The 19760-nt window shown below is 53.3% G+C and overlaps 2 protein-coding genes across 11 annotated transcripts in view, besides 6 other annotated features; one reads left to right on the forward strand and one right to left on the reverse strand.

Moving 5' to 3' along the window:
* The window catches only part of BBS1 (Bardet-Biedl syndrome 1), a 22964-nt gene extending 15965 nt beyond the window's left edge, over positions 1 to 6999 (forward strand). Inside the window, exons 13-17 of the mRNA NM_024649.5 lie at positions 50 to 208; positions 3220 to 3353; positions 4295 to 4429; positions 5057 to 5143; positions 5352 to 6999. Coding sequence (NP_078925.3) covers positions 50 to 208; positions 3220 to 3353; positions 4295 to 4429; positions 5057 to 5143; positions 5352 to 5438 — 602 coding nt within the window. The 3' untranslated portion in view covers positions 5439 to 6999. The remainder of the gene's footprint in view (positions 1 to 49; positions 209 to 3219; positions 3354 to 4294; positions 4430 to 5056; positions 5144 to 5351) is intronic.
* Positions 1 to 19449, reverse strand: part of ZDHHC24 (zDHHC palmitoyltransferase 24) — a 25424-nt gene extending 5975 nt beyond the window's left edge. For 3 of the 10 annotated variants that reach the window (XR_949860.4, XM_005273874.5, XM_011544894.3), the window contains exons 1-3: positions 19124 to 19449; positions 17105 to 17382; positions 337 to 407 (exon numbers count right to left, since the gene is read on the reverse strand). Coding sequence is in view for 7 of the 10 variants with exons in the window: in XM_005273874.5 (XP_005273931.1) it covers positions 358 to 407; positions 17105 to 17382; positions 19124 to 19404 (609 nt within the window). In the remaining 3 variants the exon portion in view is untranslated. Of the gene's footprint in view, positions 1 to 336; positions 408 to 662; positions 2890 to 9026; positions 13226 to 14062; positions 16534 to 17104; positions 17383 to 19123 lie in introns of those variants that run through there. The other 7 variants (XR_007062470.1, XR_007062471.1, NM_001348571.2 and 4 more) reach the window with 6 other exon arrangements.
* Positions 4197 to 4776: an enhancer, noted in NCBI's record as "H3K4me1 hESC enhancer chr11:66298267-66298846 (GRCh37/hg19 assembly coordinates)". NCBI's record gives its function as "activates a minimal SCP1, AML or CMV promoter by ChIP-STARR-seq in primed H9 embryonic stem cells {active_cell/tissue: H9 hESC(primed)}" and the evidence as "EXISTENCE:reporter gene assay evidence [ECO:0000049][PMID:30033119]".
* Positions 4777 to 5354: an enhancer, noted in NCBI's record as "H3K4me1 hESC enhancer chr11:66298847-66299424 (GRCh37/hg19 assembly coordinates)". NCBI's record gives its function as "activates a minimal SCP1, AML or CMV promoter by ChIP-STARR-seq in primed H9 embryonic stem cells {active_cell/tissue: H9 hESC(primed)}" and the evidence as "EXISTENCE:reporter gene assay evidence [ECO:0000049][PMID:30033119]".
* Positions 13001 to 13771: an enhancer, noted in NCBI's record as "H3K27ac-H3K4me1 hESC enhancer chr11:66307071-66307841 (GRCh37/hg19 assembly coordinates)". NCBI's record gives its function as "activates a minimal SCP1, AML or CMV promoter by ChIP-STARR-seq in primed H9 embryonic stem cells {active_cell/tissue: H9 hESC(primed)}" and the evidence as "EXISTENCE:reporter gene assay evidence [ECO:0000049][PMID:30033119]".
* Positions 18614 to 18723: an enhancer, noted in NCBI's record as "active region_5047". NCBI's record gives its function as "activates an Ori minimal core promoter by ATAC-STARR-seq in GM12878 lymphoblastoid cells {active_cell/tissue: GM12878}" and the evidence as "EXISTENCE:reporter gene assay evidence [ECO:0000049][PMID:35858748]".
* Positions 19202 to 19441: a silencer, noted in NCBI's record as "silent region_3596". NCBI's record gives its function as "represses an Ori minimal core promoter by ATAC-STARR-seq in GM12878 lymphoblastoid cells {active_cell/tissue: GM12878}" and the evidence as "EXISTENCE:reporter gene assay evidence [ECO:0000049][PMID:35858748]".
* Positions 19622 to 19751: a silencer, noted in NCBI's record as "silent region_3597". NCBI's record gives its function as "represses an Ori minimal core promoter by ATAC-STARR-seq in GM12878 lymphoblastoid cells {active_cell/tissue: GM12878}" and the evidence as "EXISTENCE:reporter gene assay evidence [ECO:0000049][PMID:35858748]".

The following is a 19760-nucleotide window of genomic DNA, read 5'->3' on the forward strand; positions in this document are numbered from 1 at the left end:
TGGGTAGAACTGGGGAGGACAAATCCATTTCCACTGTCCACTTCCCTAGGTGGTGGCCTGATCATCAAGATCCTGAAGCGTACAGCAGTGTTTGTAGAGGGAGGAAGTGAGGTGGGTCCCCCACCAGCCCAGGCCATGAAACTCAATGTGCCCCGAAAGACCCGGCTTTACGTGGATCAGACACTGCGAGAGCGGGAGGCTGGCACCGGTGAGCCTCAGACTGGGTCCTTTCCCTTCTTCCTCCTCCACTGCTCCTACACAGCAAAGCTGGGGGAATGCTGCCCAGCCTCCCTGTGCACTGGGAGGAGATCTCGGCCAACTAGGTAGGTCACTCACCTCTGCAAATCCAGGGACAGCCTAGGAGGTACACGTTGCCTGCAAATCACTGTTCCTCAGGCTGGAAGGTGCTGTGGGTGACAGCAAGAGCCCTTAGAATTCAGGGAAGGGAGCAGTCACTTCCAAACGCAGGAATTCTCATGAGGAAAGTAGAATTTTGACTGGGCATGGTGGCTCACGCCTGTAATCCCAACACTTTGGCAGAGGTGGGAGGACAGCATGAGCCCAGGAGTTCAAGACCTACCTGGGTAACATAATGATACTTCTTTCTCAAAAAAAAAAAAAGAGAGAGAGAGAAAGAGAAAAGTAGAATTTGACCAGTGTCATCTTGTCCAGTTTTTCCTGCCCGTTTATTTGTTCATTCATTCATCGTTCGTTCATTCATTCATTCAGTACCTATGATTACACCAGGCCTTGTGCCAGGTGCCTTTAATTAGAATAGTCCCTACCTTGGGCCAGGTGCAGTGGCTCACGCCTGTAATCCCACCACTTTGGGAGGCGGAGATGGGCAGATCATGAGGTCAGGAGTTCAAGACCAGCCTGGCCAATATGGTGAAACCCTGTCTCTACTAAAAATACAAACATTAGCCAGGCGTGTTGGCATGCACCTGTAGTCCCAGCTACTTGGGAGGCTGAGGCAGAAGAATCGCTTAAACCCAGGAGGCGGAGGTTGCAGTGAGCCAAGATCATGCCACTGCACTCCAGCCTTGGTGACAGAGCGAGACTCCGTCTCAAAAAAAAAAAAAAAAAAAAAAAGAATAAATAATAGTCCCTACCTTAGGAACTCAGTCTACCTGGGGCCAACTTCATGATCATGTGTAGAAGGGGTTTCTGCAAAGAGCTTTTGGAGCACACAGAGGGAGTAAGGACTTCTGCCTGGGAAGCTTGGGAAAGGCTTCAGAGCGAGGTGACTTTGGGCTTCACCCTAAAAGATGATAGCCAGACCCCCAGACAGGGCAGGGCAGGGTAATATAGGCAGAGGCACAGGGTGTTGACCTGGATTCAAGAAAGCAGGCCCGGTTCGGTGGCTCATGCCTATAATCCCAGCTCTTTGGGAGGCCGAGGCAGGCAGATCACCTGAGGTCAGGAGTTCGTGACCAGCCTGGCCAACATGGTGAAACCCCCTTGCTACTAAAAATACAAAATTAGCTGGGCATGGTGGCACACGCCTGTAATCTCCTTAGGCAGGAGAATCACTTGAACCTAGGAGGCAAAGGTTGCAGTGAACCAAGATCACGCCACTGCACTCCAGCCTGGGTGACAAGAGCCAGACTCCGTCTCAAAGAAAAAGAAAATGTACAAAGTCTAATAAAGTTGTAAAACTATCTTCAAGAACAGAAAAGACCACCTTCAAGAATGCTTAAGTGGAGAGAGTTACCAAGTTGCAGGATGGGAAGACCTAATGCTGTAAAGCTTGAAGTTGCAGTTAAAATCCCAGTGGGGTTTGTTTTAAGGACCTGGCCAGTTGATTCAAAGAGTAAACCTAAGAAGATTGGGGAAAATAAGAATGAGGGGACTTACCCTATCAGGTAGCAAAATGAACTCAAGCTGTGGGAATCAGAAGCTGTGGTGTGGATGCAGAAATAGAATGGAGATCAGGGCAGGATTAGGAAGTCCAGAAACTGACCCTGAACATGTGGAAAGTCAGAGTGTGTGAAAGGTGTCATTTTGAATTGGCAGGGAGATGTGAGACTGTCCAAAAACACACAATCAGGACAACTTGCTTCTAGAAAAGAAAATTAGACCTTTTCGGCCAGGTGCGGTGGCTCACACCTGTAATCCCAGCACTTTGGGAGGCCGAGGTGGGCAGATCACCTGAGGTCAGGAGTTCGAGACCAGCCTGACCAACATGGTGAAACCCCGTCTCTACTAAATACAAAAAATTAGCCAGGCTTGGCGGCGCGTGCCTGTAATTCCAGCTACTCGGGAGGCTGAGGCAGGAGAATCGATTGAACCCGGGAGGCAGAGGTTGCAGTGAGCTGAGATCACGCCATTGCACTCCAGCCTGGGTAACAAGAGTGAAACTCTGTCTCAAAAAAAAAAAAAAAAAAAAAGGAAGAAAATCAGACCTTTTCTTCATACCAGCCACAAAAATTAATTCTGGATAGATTAAAAATAAATTGTAAAAGTACTAGAGAAAAAGCACATAAAATGTGAAACTCTTGAATGGCAGAAGCCACTTCACACATAAACGGAAGAGCGAAGCCAGCCTGGGGGACCGAGGTGCCCAGTCTGGAAGAGGAGGGACAGTGGGGTGGGGGCGGGGTGGGCCCTGGAGGTGGCTTGGGGAAGAGTCATGTGATCCTGCAAACGGTGAGATGTGAGGGGTGGACCTAGGTGACTTGATGGACAGGGAGGCAGTGACGGAGGCAGGACCATGAGGCTGGTTTCCGCAGCATTGAGCCTGAGGTGTTGATGGGACCTCCCTGTGGAGATGAGCAGGAGGCAGGCGAGGGTGCTCACTAAGCTGCTGGAGACACATGCACAATATCGAGCGTGGACACCAAGGACTCCTCTTTGTGGTGGTCAGAGCTGTGGCAGGACATGGATTGTCTGGGGGAAGAAGATGGAGGATGAGAAGAGGACCATGGACCAGACTCAGGAGAACACCAGCCTCTAGGGCCGGACAGAGAAGCCAGTGAAGGAGCTAGATAGTGCAGGCAGGGAGGTGGTAAGAGAGTGAGAAGAGGCAGGGCGAGGCCACGGCGTCGAGTTTTGCCAGAAGGCTGGGCTCTTTCCCTCCTCCCCAGCTCCTGCAGACTCCTCCTGCAGCACCCTCCTCTTGCACCCTCCCCACACCAACCTGAGCAGGAGTGCCCCGTTGCTGCCTCCTCCCTGCCACCCCCCACCTCCACCGTCAGCCTCTGGGACCCTTCTCCACAGCCATGCACCGGGCCTTCCAGACAGACCTATACCTGCTGCGCCTACGTGCTGCCCGCGCCTACCTGCAGGCCCTCGAGTCCAGCCTGAGCCCCCTGTCCACGACAGCCCGAGAGCCACTCAAGCTGCACGCCGTGGTGAGCATCTGGGTGAGGGCAGAGTCAGGGCCAGAGGGGCAGAGGCCAGGATGCGCAGGAACCCCTCTGCCACACAGCTAAGCCCCAGAGCCAATTCCAAGCCAACTCAGCCCGTGCTCCCCATCACCTTCCCGCAGACCTGGGGACCGAGTCTCATGTCCTCCTTTGTGAGAGCAGCCCTCACCTTCCCACCCTCCTGTGCCACCTCTCCCCTCGGCTGGCCATGCCGTGGGACACTCTCCAGCTCAGATAGGCCCCCAGAATAGTCATATTAGGACATTTCTTCCCAAGAACCTGAAGGGATCCTTACAGCTATGGTACAAGGAAGAAGGCTGTCACTTTGGTAACTGTGGGCAGCCCAACGTGTTAGGACTGCTGGGTACAGGGAAGGGGCCATCCCGGCCTCACCCGCAAGCACCGAGACCAGCACGGGCAAAAGGAGGAACCCCGCAAGGCTCAGACGCAAATGAGCTTAGGGTCAGCAGGGCTCGGACCAGCCCTAAATGCGTCCCTGAGGTGTGGCATCTGACCCAACCAGGTTCTGAGTTCTCTTTTCCTAAAGAGTGGATAGATGCAGAGGAGGAAGAGGCTACAAGGCAACTCTGGGGAAGCAGGAGAAAAATGAACTGATCAAGCTACCCTAGGATGAGAGTGGGAGGTGGAACAGGCAGGGGGTGGGGGTGAGGGGCTCAGGTGAGAGTCGGGGCCTGCAGTCCCAGGCCAGCTCTGCCTCTGACTTGCTGCCTGGCCTCCCTCAGGCTCTTGCCCTCTCTGGCCTCTTCTGATCCCTCTGCCCCTTCTGGTCTTCTGTGTCTGCTGGGAGGCAGATTGAGTAGGAGGAGGGGACATGAGGGCATTGGTGGAAGGCAGGCAGAGCACACTGTACTCCGTGCCCAAGGCTGCCAGGTCCTAAGGGCTTTCTCCACCCACCCTCTCCATAGGTTCAGGGCCTTGGCCCCACCTTTAAGCTCACACTTCACCTGCAGAACACCTCAACAACCCGTCCTGTCCTGGGGCTGCTGGTCTGCTTCCTGTACAACGAGGCGCTCTATTCCCTGCCCCGGGCCTTCTTCAAGGTACTGGATGCTCCTCACTTAGATATGGAGTGGGAAAGGCCAGGGCAGGGGCCTGATGAGATGCCCACAGAGCCCCGCCAGGTCAGGGTCAGAGCGTGCGGGTGGCTGCCAGGTGGCCAGCAGACCTACTCTCCCACCACAGACCAGGCCAAGGCCCCAGTAGGGGCCTCTGGAGGGAGCCCCAAGCCCTGCCTCTGCTGCTTTTCTTGCAGCCTGTGAGGGGTCTCCACGAGCCATACAGAAGGTGCTGGGAAAACTGCTAGAGCCTGAACCCCACCTACACCTCCCAGAAGGGTCTGGGGGACCCCAGAGTGTGAAGGGCCTGGTTTTCCCCCAGGGCCCAGGTCTGACCCCAAGTTGGGAGGACCAGAAAATGCAAAAGGCTGGAATATGCAATAAACAGCCCCAGACTTGGTGGGAGTCCAGAGGTCTAGGTTTCATCACTCACCATGAGGCCCTGGGCCATTCACTTCCCCACCACACCTGCATCCTCCTCCACCCAGCAGTTGTCCTGCCCACCCTGCAGGGGTGCTGAGGCTCAGTGGAGACTGCGGGCCTGAATGCACTGGAATATGCCAAACACTGGCACGAGGGCTGGTTTCCTTACTTCTTTGTCCCCAAACTTAGGTACCCTTGCTGGTGCCAGGGCTCAACTACCCCCTGGAGACCTTTGTGGAGAGTCTCAGTAACAAGGGCATCTCAGACATCATCAAGGTAGGCCCCGCACTTGTACCACGTGGAAGGTGAGCAGGACCCTGGGGAGGACAGTAAGGGTGAGTGCCAACAAAGACCTTAGGGGGCTCCTGGGTGGGGGTGGGGGTATCTGCACAGTGGAGCCCTGTGGCCTGTCATTAGGGCCAGCGCAGACCAGGCAAGGGGTCAGGGGTGTATGCCCCCTGCTGCCATGGCCACTCCTCCATAGGTGCTGGTGCTTCGAGAAGGCCAAAGTGCACCCCTGCTGAGTGCCCACGTCAACATGCCTGGGAGCGAGGGGCTGGCGGCCGCCTGAGACCTGAGCTGCTGTGAAAGCCCCTGCACAATCAGCCAGGGAGAACTGGGCGGGTTTAGTGGCCCCAGGCCCACTCCTCATGCAGCAGTGTGCTGGGGCGACAGCTCGTCTCCCCTCTCTTAAGCACCCGCTTCCTCACCACCCCCACTGTTGGGCCTATAGTAGCAGGTTAGTGAGTACCTAGGGCGGCTCAACTCCTCCCACAGCACCAACCCAGCATGGTCCCACTGAAGTCCTACTACGCCCTCCCCTCCCCAGCCTTTTCCAGAAACCATACTGGGCTCAGATCAGAGCTCCGAAGCGGTCAAAGTGAGCTGAGCAGGACAGGCCCAGCCTTTCTCCACTGCCACGTCCCTCATGCACATCACTCATCTCCTGCTGCAGGCCAAGGCCAAAATTGGGCTAGTCCTGGCCAGGGAAATCAGAAGCTCTTCTTGGGTGAGATTGAGCCTCCTGTTGCTCCCTGGAGTTCCGGAGGCTGGGCTGCAGCCCACTCAGCTTGCGGGCAAAATACGTGCTCTCCTCTCTCCTTGTCAGCTGAGCAAACCCAGGGAATAGCCCTCCTCTCCCCAGGAAACTTCTCTGAAATCTTAGACTTAGCCAGTCTTAGGCCTACGATGCCACACAAAGGTTGTTCAGGGAGAAGGGGGTGCAGGAGGCAGAGGGTGCCCCGCAGGGAGCTGGTGGCTCCAGCCCCACTAGAGCTCCTAAAGATCACACAGCAGCTGCTCCTGACAGGGATGCTCATGCCCAGAAAGCAAGCCCAGGAGAGGAAGGCAGAGTGTGACAGAGCAGAGCCAGGGCCAGGCGCACCAGGAGAGGCGTTTCTGGGGCTCCAGAGAAGTGCCACGGGAGGCAGAAGTCCAGAACTGCCCATATAGATGCCCTTCTACATCCTGGAGCCCAAATCAGTCATGTGGGTGGGAAGTTCCCAGGGCAGTGGTCACATCGTGAGAATTAGCAGGAAAGGCGGGGCCTTTCTTGTCATAGCTATTTCTGAGGATGAAATGGGAGACATATGCCCAGCACCTGATGTAAGTTTATATAATGTAATATTATGTACCTACCACTAAGAAATACATGAACCGTGCCATGAGGACAGTAAGTGTTCATAAAGCAACATGAAGCAAGAAACAGTGCAGGGTGCCCAGTGCACACACTAGAGAGAAATTGTGAACATTAAGGACAAGGAGAATTGGTGTCTTTCTAAAACATACTTATTTAAAAACACATACCCACTTACTAATGTGGAATTACACAGTTTGTAACAAGAAAACAGTCTCTCCCATTCTCTAGTACTGCTCCCCTACCCAGCAGTCACTTCCAGTTCATTCAGCTATTTTTAAAATGTGCTTATATGACTCTTGCTTGATATATCAATCTTAGACATTACCTGTTGACTCCCTGTTGTCATACATGAGGCTTTAGCTCTCTTTTGTCAGCAACCCTCCCCCATCCCTAGTTATTAGGTTAAAAAATACTCAGATTACTATTTCTATTACTATGTGAAAGTTAACTGCGGAGCCAAGAGTTGGACTATAATTAAATTACCTTCCTTGTACTTTCTTTTTAATGGAGTTAATGAGTTGCCCTGAGTTTCTCATTTACTTTGTTTTCTGATGGACTGATTGCTAATTCTTCCCCCACCATCTGACAGCTCCTCTTTTTTCTAGACACTTCCCTTCATCCCCTGCTTCACTGAGGACTGTTTGTTTTCCAGGTAAATTGCCTTTGCCTCTCTCCTGGGCTAGATCCTGATTCCTGGGCCTGATGGCTTCCTATTTCTCAGTTCACCCTCATTTGGTGAAACATATCCTCAAATATCTTCTTTAAAAAGTCATGGCCAGAAGGCTGGGCACTGTGGCTCACGCCTGTAATCCCAGCACTTTGGGAGGCCGGGGCAGGCGGACCACCTGAGGTCAGGAGTTTGAGACCAGCCCGGCCAACATGGTGAAACCCTGTCTCTACTAAAAATACAAAAATTAGCCAGGCGTGGTGGCAGACACCTGTAGTTCCAGCTACTTGGGAGGCTGAGGCAGGAGAATCGCTTGAACCCGGGAGGCGGAGGTTGCAGTGAGCTGAGATTGTGCCACTGCACTCCAGCCTGGGCAAAACGAGCGAAACTGGCTGGGCGTGGTAGCTCACACGTGTAATCCCAGCACTTTGGGAGGCCGAGGCAGGCAGATCACAAGGCCAGGAGTTCGAGACCAGCCTGGCCAACATGGTGAAACCCCATCTCTACTAAAAATACAAAAACTAGCCAGGCATGGTGGCAGGCGCGTGTAATCCCAGCTACTTGGAAGGCTGAGGCAGGAGAATTGCTTGAAACAGGAAGGTGGAGGTTGTAGTGAGCCAAGATCGCGCCACTACACCACTCTAGCCTGGGCAAGAGCGAAACTCTGTCTCAAAAAAAAAAAAAAAAAAAAAAAAAAGCGAAACTCTGTCTCAAAAGAAAAGAAAAAAAAAAAAGTCACTAGAGGCCGGGTATAGTGGTTCACACTTGTAATCCCAGCCCTTTGAGAAGCCAAGGCAGGAGGATCGCTTGAACCCATAAGCTGGAGACCAGCCTGTGCAACATGGTGAGACCCTGTCCCTACCAAAAAAAATAAAGTCATTAGAGTTTTTAAAGATTTTTTTCATTTATTTTATTTTATTTTATTTTATTATTTGTTTTTTGAGACGGAGTCTCACTGTGTCGCCCAGGCTGGAGTGCAGTGGCGCGGTCTCGGCTCGCTGCAAGCATCACCTCCCAGGTTCACACCATTCTCTTGCCTCAGCCTCCCGAGTAGCTGGGACTACAGGCGCCTGCCACCATGCCCGGCTAATTTTTCGTATTTTTAGTAGAAACAGCGTTTCACCGTGTTAGCCAGAATGGTCTCGATCTCCTCACCTCGTGATCTGCTAGAGTGTGCTGGCGTGATCTCGGCTCACTGCAACCTCTGCCTCCCGGGCTCAAGTGATTCTCCTCCATCAGACTCCCGAGTAGCTGGGATTACAGGCATGCACCACTGCACCTGGCTAATTTTTGTATTTTTAGTAGAGACAGGGTTTTACCATGTTGGCCAAGCTGGCCTTGAATTCCTGACCTCAGGTGATCCGCCTGCCTCAGCCTCCCAAAGTGCTGGGATTACAGGCATGAGCCACCACACCTGGCCTGGACACAACTTTTGTTTTTGTTTTAGTTTTTTTGAGACAGAGTCTAGCTCTTGTCACCCAGGCTGGAGTGCAGAAGCACGGTCACAGCTCACTGCAGCCTCGACCTGCTGAGCTCAAGCCATCGTCCCACCTCAGCCCACCCCCATCCCCCACACTACAGACGCACTACCACACAAGGCTTTTTTTTTTTTTTTAAGACACAGGGTCTCACTATGTTGTCCAGGCTTGTCTCAAACGCCAGGCCTCAAGTGATCCTCCCGCCTCAGCCTCCCAAAGTGTGGGATTACAGTGCCCAGCCCCCATTAATTTTGTATTTTGCAGAGACAGGGTCTCACTATGTTGCCCAGGCTCACAGTCTATTTTGATAGTGCATGTATAATAGCATACGATATCAGATACTTAAGAATTAATCCAATTTAAAAAGGCATGATCTTTATGGGAAAAGGTACACAACTTTATTGAAAACATTGAGTGCAGAAATAAACCCTGCTCATGAATGGGAAAATTCAATTTTACACAGGTGCTGATTTTATCCAGACTGATCTATAGATTCAGCTGGGTTCCATTCTACATCTCAAGGGGTTTTTGGGGGGAATTTGACAAGCTGATTCTCAAGGTTACATGGAAGAGCAAGGGCCGAGACTAGAGTTTAGGAGATGATTCCCAAAGGGCACAGGGGCAGAAAAATGACCAGTGGAACCACATAGAAAAATCAATTATTGTATTTTCAATGGATCACTAGGCAGCAGGGAAAAGGAATGCCATACAGCTACACACAATAATCCGGATACATCTCAGGAACATAATCAAGTGAAAAGGCAAACTGTAAAAGAATAAACTCTGCATGATTTCATTCATATATTTGAAAACATGCAAAGCCAACACAAACACATTAATAAAACTATAAAGCAAAGCAACGGAATGACTGAAACAGGACAGTGTCTCCCCCACCAGGAAGGGGCAACAGCAGGAACTTCGAAGGAAATGGTAACCTTCTCAAATGCAGTGGGGCTGTTTCCTCTTAATTTTTATAAATGTGTTCTTGTAGCTCCTCACTAATTAAAAACAACAACAACAACGAGTCCAGGCATGGTGGCTCACACCTGTAATCCCAGCACTTTGGGAGGCCAAGGTGGGCAGATCACCTGAGGTCAGCAGTTCAAGACCAGCCTGACCAACATGGTGAAACTCCATCTCTACAAAAGTACAAAATTTAGCAGGGCATGATGGTGGGTGCCTGCAATCCCAGTTACTTGGGAGGCTAAGGCAGGAGAATCGCTTGAACCCAGGAAGTGAGCCAAGATCGCGCCATTGCACTCCAGCTTGGGCAACAGAGAGACTCCATCTCGAAAAATAAAACAAAACACACAAAAAAACATGAAAATAAGATATTGTGGGCTGGGCGCAGTGGCTCATACCTGTAATCCCGGCACTTTGGGAGGCCGAGGCAGGTGGATCACCTGAGGTCAGGAGTTCCAGACCAGCCTGACCAACATGGAGAAACCCCGTCTCTACTAAAAATACAAAAACAATTAGCCGGGCATGGTGGCACATGCCTGTAATCCCAGCTACCGAGAGGCTGCAGCAGGAGAATCGCTTGAACCCGGGAGGCGGAGGTTTCGGTGAACCAAGATCGCATCATTGCACTCCAGCCTGGGTAACAAGAGTGAAACTCTGTCTCAAAAAATAAAAAGAGAAAGAAAGAAAATAAGAAATTGTGGAGGGCGAGGGATGAAACAGGACAAGGTGAGTCTGCTAATGCGTCTGTGCAGCCCAAAGTGCCAGGTACACCAAGTTCCTCCTGTCATTAAAAAATAGCAACAGAGCATGCCTGTTACAAAAACAACCAGCCAAGCAGCTCAGATCTTTGTGGGCATGGGCAGAGCCTGTCAGAGGGTGGGTTTCTCTGAAGGTTCTTGGGGGTCAAGCATGTTCTTTCATGGGAGGCCCCCCAGCAGTATCTATGGACTTTCACTTAACCCCATTTTTTGGTCTAGCCTCTCACCCACCCCTCCCCAGTACGCCTAAGACCCGAAGCTTCTCTGGTTCCATTTATCCTTCAAATAATCCTCACGTCACACCACCCCACCCAGAGGTGTAGCTGCTGGCTGCATGATGTGGGTGGGGTGTGGGTGGGATGTGGGGGAGCGGCACCCCACTGATCCTTACATAGACTTTCCATCGGTCCCCATTGTTGGCCGAAGCCTCACCTCACCCTCCATGGTCCTGGTGGAGTTCCTGAGCCCCTCCGGGGCTCTGGCAGGTAATTCCACTTGCCTTTTGGCCCCACCTTTTGGGAACACATAATTTCAGCTCTTAATTCTCCATCCACTTTCCATCTTTGAAAATGTCAGCCAGGCGGCCGGGCACGGTGGCTCACACCTGTAATCCCAGCACTTTGGGAGGCCAAGGCGGGCAGATCACGAGGTCAGTAGATCAAGACCATCCTGGCCGGCCAGGAGTGGTGGCTCACACCTGTAATCCCAGCACTTTGGGAGGCCGAGGCAGGTGGATCACAAGGTCAGGAGATCGAGACCATCCTGGCTAACACGGTGAAACCTCGTCTCTACTAAAAATACAAAAAATTAGCTTGGCGTGGTGGCAGGCACCTGTAGTCCCAGCTACTTGAGAGGCTGAGGCAGGAGAATGGCGTGAACCCAGAAGGCGGAGCTTGCAGTGAGCCGAGATCGTGCCACTGCACTCCAGCCTGGCAACAGAACAAGAGTCTGTCTCAAATAAAATAAAATAAAATAAAATAAAATAAAATAATAAAAAATTGTCAGCCAGGCACGGTAGCTCACGCCTGTAATCCTAGCACTTTGGGAGACGGAGGTGGAGGCAGGTGCCAGGAATTCAAGTTCAGCCTGGCCAACATGGTGAAACCCTGTCTATACTAAAAATACAAAAAAATTAGCTGGGCATGGCCAGGCGCAATGGCTCACACCTGTAATTCCAGCACTTCGGGAGGCCAAGGCGGGCGGATCACAAGGTCACGAGTTTGAGACCTGCCTGGCCAACATGGTGAAACCCCCGTCTCTACTAAAAATACAAAAATTAGCCAGGAATGGTGGCGGGCACCTGTAATCCCAGCTACTCGGGAGGCTGAGGCAGGAGAATCGCTTGAACCCAGGAGGCGGAGGTTGCAGTGAGCCGAGATCACGCCATTGCACTCCTGCCTGAGCAACAAGAGCAAAACTCCGTCTCAAAAAAGAAAAAAAAAAAAATCAGCCGGGCATAGTGGCGGGTGTCTGTAATCCCAGCAACTCGGGAGGCCGAATCACTTGAACCCGGGAGGTGGAGGTTACAGTGAACCGAGATCGTGCCACTGCACTCCAGCCCCGGCAACAGAGAGAAAAAAGAAAATGTGGTCAGGCTCTGTGTTCTACTGTCTTCCCTCCTGTTTTCTTTCCCTTTGTATTATTTTTGATTTTCTTTACTATCATCTTAGAGAGATCCTAAGAGAAAACTGAGACGAACACATGTGTTTAGGCCTGCCATGTGGAAATGGCGGTCTCTATTCATTCTATTTACACGGAAACATTTAACAAGCAGCTCTTGAGGAGGCCAGAGAGGTGCAGGCCTAGCCCTGTCAGCACCACCCTCCACAGATGCCCAAACAGCCCCAGCGCATTTCTTTACCTTGATTTCTTTCCTACTCATTTCCTCCAGCTGTGCAAGGGTAAAGGCAAAAGCACAAAGACCTGGGTTGGACCCTGCCTCCATTTGCCGCACCATGATCTTACCACATGGATTCTTAGAGCGTAACTGCTGCCCCATGGACCAGGTTAGCTAAGAGAGGTTCCATGAAACTGCTGTTGCAGAAATGCTTCTAACTATAAAATGCCAAACCTGGGAAAGAATGTTTGGATTCTCATAGCCTGGATCAGTAGGACACTGCCTTGGCGTGCTGGTGCCCCACCCCCAACTCACCCAGGCCAGGGGAGGTAGAGCCCCAGCCCCTGAGACCCTCAGGCATCCTGCAGTTTCCAGGCCCTACAGAGGGTCCCAGAAACAGCCCCAGCAACAAAGTGAGGGGCCAGAAACTATGCAAAGATGGAGGGAGGCTGAGAAACAAGTCAGTGCTTTATTAACCTGGCAAAGGGGCAGCTAGGCGGCCTGAGCAGCCCCTGCCAGACCCTCCTCTGCACTCCTCTGCCTAAGTCACGGCCCAAGCCCTGGACACGTAGGAGTGTAGGCGGGCAGGGGCAAGGCCAAGGAAGGGGTGGAGTTGTCCAATGCAGATGTTAAGGTCCAACCCGACTTCCTTACTGAGTCTAGGTGTGGGGGCCCCCCTCTCACCCCTTCCTCCCTGCACAGCTCTGGCTCTTCCTGGAGTCAGGAGGCTGTGTGTCCCACATCTGCTGTGGTCTGGAAGGTGATCCCATCCCCAGGCAATGGGGAGGCCAGGAAGGGCCAGAGCCAGACGAGGGCCCAGCGGGGCCCCAGGGCTGCCTGCAGGTTGTGGCAGGGACCCAGGTCATAGGAGTGCTGGCCCCGAGCCCACTCCCATGTGGTCTGGCCCCGCAGCAGCAGCATCCCATGGAAGAGCAGCCCAGCCCCGCACAGCAGCGCACCCGCCACGCACGTGTCCGTCACGAAGGCCAAGGCAAACTGTGCCAGAGACACTCTGCCTGCAATAAAAGAGCAGAGAGGGTCAGGGAGGGGCAGTGGGGTCCGGCTTTCCTGCCACCTGCTCCCCTCCACCACAAAGCAGGGCTCATTCCTCCGCTCAGCAAACCCTGTGTCGATACTCGCTGGCCAGCCCGTGCTGGGTGACAAGAACGCACTGGTAAACTGGGCAGACGCAGCCCCCTACTTGGGATACGGCTTCATTCCTGCATCACAGACTTGGTGAGCACCTCCTCAGCCCTGGAGGCGGTGCCAGGCACTAGAGGGTGTCTCTGCCCTTGGGGAGCTCACAGACATTAAAGAGGCCATTCTTGGCTGGATGCGGTGGCTCACACCTGTAATCCCAGCACTTTGGGGGGGCGAAGCAGATAGATCACCTGAGGTCAGGAATTTGAGACCAGCCTTGACAACACGGTAAAACCCCGTCTCTACTAAAAAATACAAAAATTAGCCAGACGTGGTGGCAGGCGCCTGTAATCCCAGCTACTCAGGAGGCTGGGGGGCTCAGGCAGGAGAATCGCTTTAACCTGGGAGGCAGAGGTTGCAGTGAGCTGAGATCACGCCACTGCACTCCAGCATGGGCAACATAGCGAGACTCCCATCTCAAAAAAAAAAAAAAAAAAAAGGCCGGACGCGATGGCTCGTGCCTGTAATCCCAGTATTTTGGGAGGCCGAGGCGGGTGGATCACGAGGTCAGGAGTTCCAGACCAGCCTGACCAACATGGTGAAACTCCGTCTCTACTAAAAATACAAAAATTAACCGGGTGTGGTTGCGCACGCCCGTAATCCCAGCTACTCAGGAGGCTGAGGCAGGATAATCGCTTGAACCCGGGAGGTGGAGGCTGCAGTGAGCCAAGATTGCGCCATTGCACTCCAGCCTGGGTGACAGAGTGAGAAAAAAAAAAAAAGCCATTCTCAGTTACTTAATGTGTGCCGCCACAGAAAAGCCAGTATCCTGTGCCATCTTGGCCCACAGTCAGCAACAAGTACCTGCTGAACTAACGGACTACGAGAGGCCATGAAATGTTACTCTAAGTGAGAGAAGCCAGGCACCAAAGGTCACATGTTTATCATCCCACTTATGTGAAACATCCTGAATAGGCAAGTCCACAGAGACAGAAAGATTAGTGGTTGCCAGGGGCTAAGGGGATTAGGGAGGAACATGGAGGGACCACTAATGGGTACGGGGTTTCTTTTTAGGATGAAAATGTTCTGGAATTAGACAGTGGTGATGGTTGCACTACATCATGAATGTACTAAAAGCCACTAAATTGTACACTTTAAAATAGTTAAAATGGGCCGGGTGTGGTGGCTCATGCCTGTAATCCCAGCAATTTAGGAGGCTGAGGCAGGTGGATCACCTGAGGTCAGGAGTTCCAGACCAGCCTGGCCAACATGGAGAAACTCCGTCTGTACTAAAAATACAAAAAATTAGTCGGGCGTGGTGGCGCATGCCTGTAATCCCAGCTACTCGGGAGGCTGAGGCAAGAGAATCACTTGAACCTGGAAGGCGGAGGTTGTGGTGAGCCGAGATCGCGCTATTGCACTCCAGCCTGGGCAACAAGAGCAAAACTCCATCTCAAAAAAAAAAAAAAAACCATTCTGTTTGAAGGTCCTGAGGCAGGCCAGAGGCACTTGTGAGACAAGCAGGTGGACGGTCTGCAGGTCTGCAAGCACAGGGAGAAGCCCAGGCTGGACAAACAGTTCTGCGAGTAGGGGGTGCAAGGCAACCCTGAGACTGTGGGCGCAGCTAGACCTGCCAAAGTGTGTAGAGTGAGGGGGGAATGGCACCTAGACAGGAGCACGGGGAAATCGGTTCTTGGGGATCAGATAAAAGATGAGAAAGGGCAACCACAAAGGAAGGTGAACGCACCAAGGTCCCAGCCATCGGTGATGCCAGGCGGAGAACGCTTCACGGGGGCTGGGGGCCAGCAGTGTCATGAGTCTAAAAGGTCTCATAAAGCAAGAAAGGGTCCTGGAGTGTGTGGAGACAGATCCCTGAGTGAGTGGTGGTGGCAGAAGCCAGGCTGGAGCAGGCAGGGAATGAGCAGCCATGAGCCTGGGCAAGTCCCTTGGGAAGCTTAGAGCAGGGCAAGCGCTGGAGGAGGATATGAGGGCAAGGGAGGGTTTGTCCAAGGTGGCAAACCAGGAGGGCAGAGAAGGCCTGGCCTGCAGGAGAGGCAGATGCCACAGCCTGAGGCCTCCAAGCAGGGAGGTAGGCACCAAATACAAGAAGCTGGGGGCAGTCAGCTGGGCTCGGGGAGTTGAGGACAGCACAATTTGGGATGTGCCAGCTGATGTCTCACTTTCTCAGTGCTGGAGCTTGGAGTGTGGGAGAGCAGGGAAGGTTTGAGCTGCTGTTGCTGGGAGTAGCAAGCTTACAAGCAAACGGGAAGGCCAGGCATAGCCGAGGGCCTGCTGAGGTCAGCAGCCATGAACATGGCATGGCATCAACCTGCCACAGACTGCCAATGCCTCTGGCTCTCAGCAGCCAGAGGCAGACACAGAGAAGCCAGGAAAGCACTGTGGAAGGAAGATGAGGGAGGAAGTTTGCGATGCTGGCAGGAGAATGGTGAGAAGGATGAGCTCTGAGCTGGACGTCGGTGGCGAAGGTGGAAAGGTACAGACGGGCGGTGAGGGCCACGAGCCTGCAGGCTCATGGAGCAGGTGCCAGGGCGTGGAGGAGTAAAAGACGGAGAGAAGAGGAGGTGGGCAGCAGAAAGAGGAAGATGGGTGGTTTGTGAGGGTGACTCATTTTTGGATTCTGACCAGGACTGGGGTGTGGACATGGGAGGAGGGAAAGGAAGGAAAAATGAAGGAGGAGGCCAAGAGCTAAGCCATCCAGGCATTGAGGGGGCTGTTCATGCAAACTTCCAGACACCCTTGATTTCCACAGGGCCCAGGGCGAAGAGAGAGTCTGTGACTGGAGCCAGAGTCTTCCGTGACTGAGGGGAGTGAGTGTTGACCACAAGGTGGTAGGGCAGTGCGGCTGAAGGGCCGGGACTCCTGGAGGGAGGCAGAGGAGGACCCATTGGGAAGCTGGTGTGGGCAGATGAAGATTCTGATAACCCCAGTGGGCCGCTTCCCGAGGCCTCCCCTGGGCTGTAGGTGGGGTCCATGCACAGAGCTGGGCTTGGATAGGATGAGGAGGCACAGTGACTACCCGGAGTAGCCGGGGAGGTTCCTCAACCACAGATCAAAGTGACAGAGGGAACCATGGAAAGGTCAGGAGGAAGGAATGGGGGCGAGAAAGGCCAAAGCATTCTGGGGGTAGAGAACAAAGAGTAAAAAGGACCAGCGAGGCTTCTATCTGTAGATGGGGGAAGAGGAACATATGTGTCGTCTAGAACATGGCATCTCAGGCAGCCTGCTGATCCAAGTCTGCCCTCCCCAGCTTCCCATAACTGGGCCTTCTCCTGCCTGTCACTTTCACTGGCTCCCCACTGTCCAGTCAAATAGGAGCCATCTCCTCACACCAGTTCTCAGGACCCCACCAGCCAGGCCTCCCCTACCAATCTGGCCTTAATTCTCACAATTCCCTGCCCACTCTCCAAGCCTTTGTTCCTATTGCTTCTCTCACTTAGAAATGCTCCTAGAATGCACTTCCACATCCCGCCATGCAGAGACTCCCACGAGTCTTTCTCCTCTCTCAACAACTCCAGGAATCTCCCAATTCTCCAGCCAGAACGCTGCACTTGTCTCAACACACCAGTTTCCATACTGCACCCCCGGGTGAATACCAAGCTGCCCTTACTGGCCATCACTGACACTGGGGCTGGGTCCCCCAGGCCAGAAAGCCCGTCTCCCACCAGAATGGGCTGTACTCCCCAGCCCAATACCAGGGCCCCTGCCTCTGTGCAGAGGCCTCCCAGGCTCCCCACCTGTGAGCAACATGAGCCAGGGAAGCAGGAGGAGGGCAGCCATGTGGAGGGGCGTGTGGGCTCGCAGCAGGGCCGACAGTGCAGGGCCCAGCAGCACAGAGACGTGGAGCAGGACGCCGGCGGCATGAAGCAGCAGGCACAGGAAGGGCCGGTAGTTGCCGAAGCCCACGCAGCGGCCCAGCAGGCGGCAGTGGTGGTCCCGACGCAGGATGCAGACGCGGCAGGCAGAGCAGTGTCCGCTGCGTGGCGGCACCTGGCTTTGGCATTGGTAGCAGTAACTGCAGGAAGGAACCACAGCGTCAGTTCCCCCAGCAGCTCAGATGCCCCATATTGTGCACAGGGCTGCCCCAGAGCCCATCCTGCGGAAGTGGCAACAGCCATTTGCCCTGGCTAAGCCTCAATTTCTTTACAAGTAAATGCAGGCTAAACAAGATGTCCCAGGCCCTTCTAGTTCTAGCACTACAGGTCTGAGGTCTCTTCCAGCCCTAACATCCCCAGTCCTGAGACCTCTCTCAAGCCACTGACATCCAGCAGCAAATCCCTCCCTTCCTCCACGGTCACCCCTTTGTCCAGGTCACTAGGAACTCTCTGGATTACTGCAATAGCCTCTTGACTGGTCTCCGATTCCACCTTTGCCCCACCTCGTACGGTCTCACCCCAGCAACCAAACTGACCCTCCTCTGCTTAAAACCCTCCTGTGGTTCTCCAATTTATTTCTAGTAAAAAGCAAAGCCTTCAGTGTCCTACAACATCCTTCTATCTGTGACATCTCTTCCCCTCTCTTACTGCACTCCAGCCACACTGGCCTTCTTGCTGTTCTGGGAACATACATGCTGGGTACACAACTGCCTCAGAGCCTTTGCACCACTTGTTACCTCTGCCTGGAACACCTTTCCCTCAGATTCCCACATGGCTAACCGCCCCCCACGCCCTCCAAGTTTTTTGCTCAAATGCCTCCTTCTCTATGAGGTCTACCTTGACCACACATTTATGTATATTATTTTAAAAATTAATTAAAAAAAATTTTTAGGGACAGAGTCTCGCTACATTACCCAGGCTGGAGTGTAGTGGTTGTTCACAGGTGTGATCATAGCACACTACAGCCTCAGTCTCAGCAAAAGCCTCTGCCTGGCATAAAATGTGTGTGTAGAGCCTGTACCTGGTGTAATTTTTTTTTCTAATTATAAATTGACAAATTCCAGTTGTATATACTTATGGGATACCAAGTGATGTTATGATTTATCAGTACAGCTTGGAATAAATCAAGCTAATTAGGATAGCCATTACCTCAAACACTCATATTTTTGTGATGAGAATTTACCACCTGTTTATTTATGTATTTATTTATTTGAGACGGAGGGAGTCTTGCTCTGTCACCCAGGCTGGAGTGCAGTGGCTCGATCTCGGCTCACTGCAACCTCCGCCTCCCAGGTTCAAACAATTCTCTTGCCTCAGCCTCCCCAGTAGCTGAGATTACAGGCACGTGCCGCCATGCCCGACTAATTTTTTTATATTTTTAGTAGAGACGGGGTTTCACCACGTTGGCTAGGCTGGTAAACTTCTGACCTTAAGTGATCCGCCGGCCTCGGCCTCCCAAAGTGCTGGGATTACAGATGTGAGCCAACGCACCCGGCCTAACCACCTATTTAATATTGAAACTTGCAACCCCTTTACCCTGCTCTACTTCTTGTTTCCAAACTACTATCACCTTCTAGCATTCTATATGATTTGCTTATTATTCCTCTAGTTTCTCATCTGCACCCCCCTCAAATCAGGAATTTGTTCTATTGTACCCTTCGTCCCTGTAACAAAACCTTGCACCTAGTAGGCTCCCAATAAGTATTTGCGAGTAAATAAATAACACTCAATTCTAGCTCTTCCATCCCAGGTTCTAAAAAAATGTCTGATTCTAACAACCTGGATCCTAATGTAACCCGGTTCTAACATCTCAGGTCTTGGGGCCCCTCCCCCCTGTCCAAGGCTCCCACTTCTCCCCGCCCGATCCCGCACCCCACTCACGCCCAGCCCTGGCCCAGACCGCGGCCGGCCAGCATCACGCCACGGATGCTGGGATCCGAGCGCAGGAAGAGCCCCACGTTGCCCAGCAGGTTGAGCAGCTGGAAGGCGGCCAGCGCCAGCTGCAAGGCCCGGGCCAGGGGTCCCAGCGGCGGCGGCCCGGGACCGAGCACCAGCACGTAAGCCAGCTCCAGGCCCACGGCCGCGGCCCACAGCGCGGTGAGCACGAGAGGCAGCTGCGCGGGCGCCCCGTCCGTGCTCCCAGCCGCCCAGGGCTGCCCCATGGCCTGGACACCCAGCTGTCGGAGCCGGAGGACTAGGCCGCTTCCGTATTGGGGCGGAGATAGCGGCAGACGGACGTCTGCTACGGCCAATAGAAGCTCGGAAGGGGGTGCGGCGAGCGCTCAGACTCTCAGGGAACGGCCGGCCCACGCGGCGAGTTGATCTGGCCAACGGACCAGCAGTGGAGGCGCTCGGAATCCCGCGGCGCTGGAGCCCGGATAACGCCGCGGAGTGATTGACCCGCCCACCCTGGAGGCTCCTCCCATCCCGTCGGAGCCCCGCCCGCTGGCGCGGGGGCCAGGAGTGCCCGGGGGATTGAGTTGCAGCCGGGGTGGTGTCGGGGTTTCCCGGCTCAGCA

The sequence above is a fragment of the Homo sapiens genome, chromosome 11 (genome assembly GCF_000001405.40).
Source record: "Homo sapiens chromosome 11, GRCh38.p14 Primary Assembly".
Taxonomy (NCBI): Eukaryota; Metazoa; Chordata; class Mammalia; order Primates; family Hominidae; genus Homo; species Homo sapiens.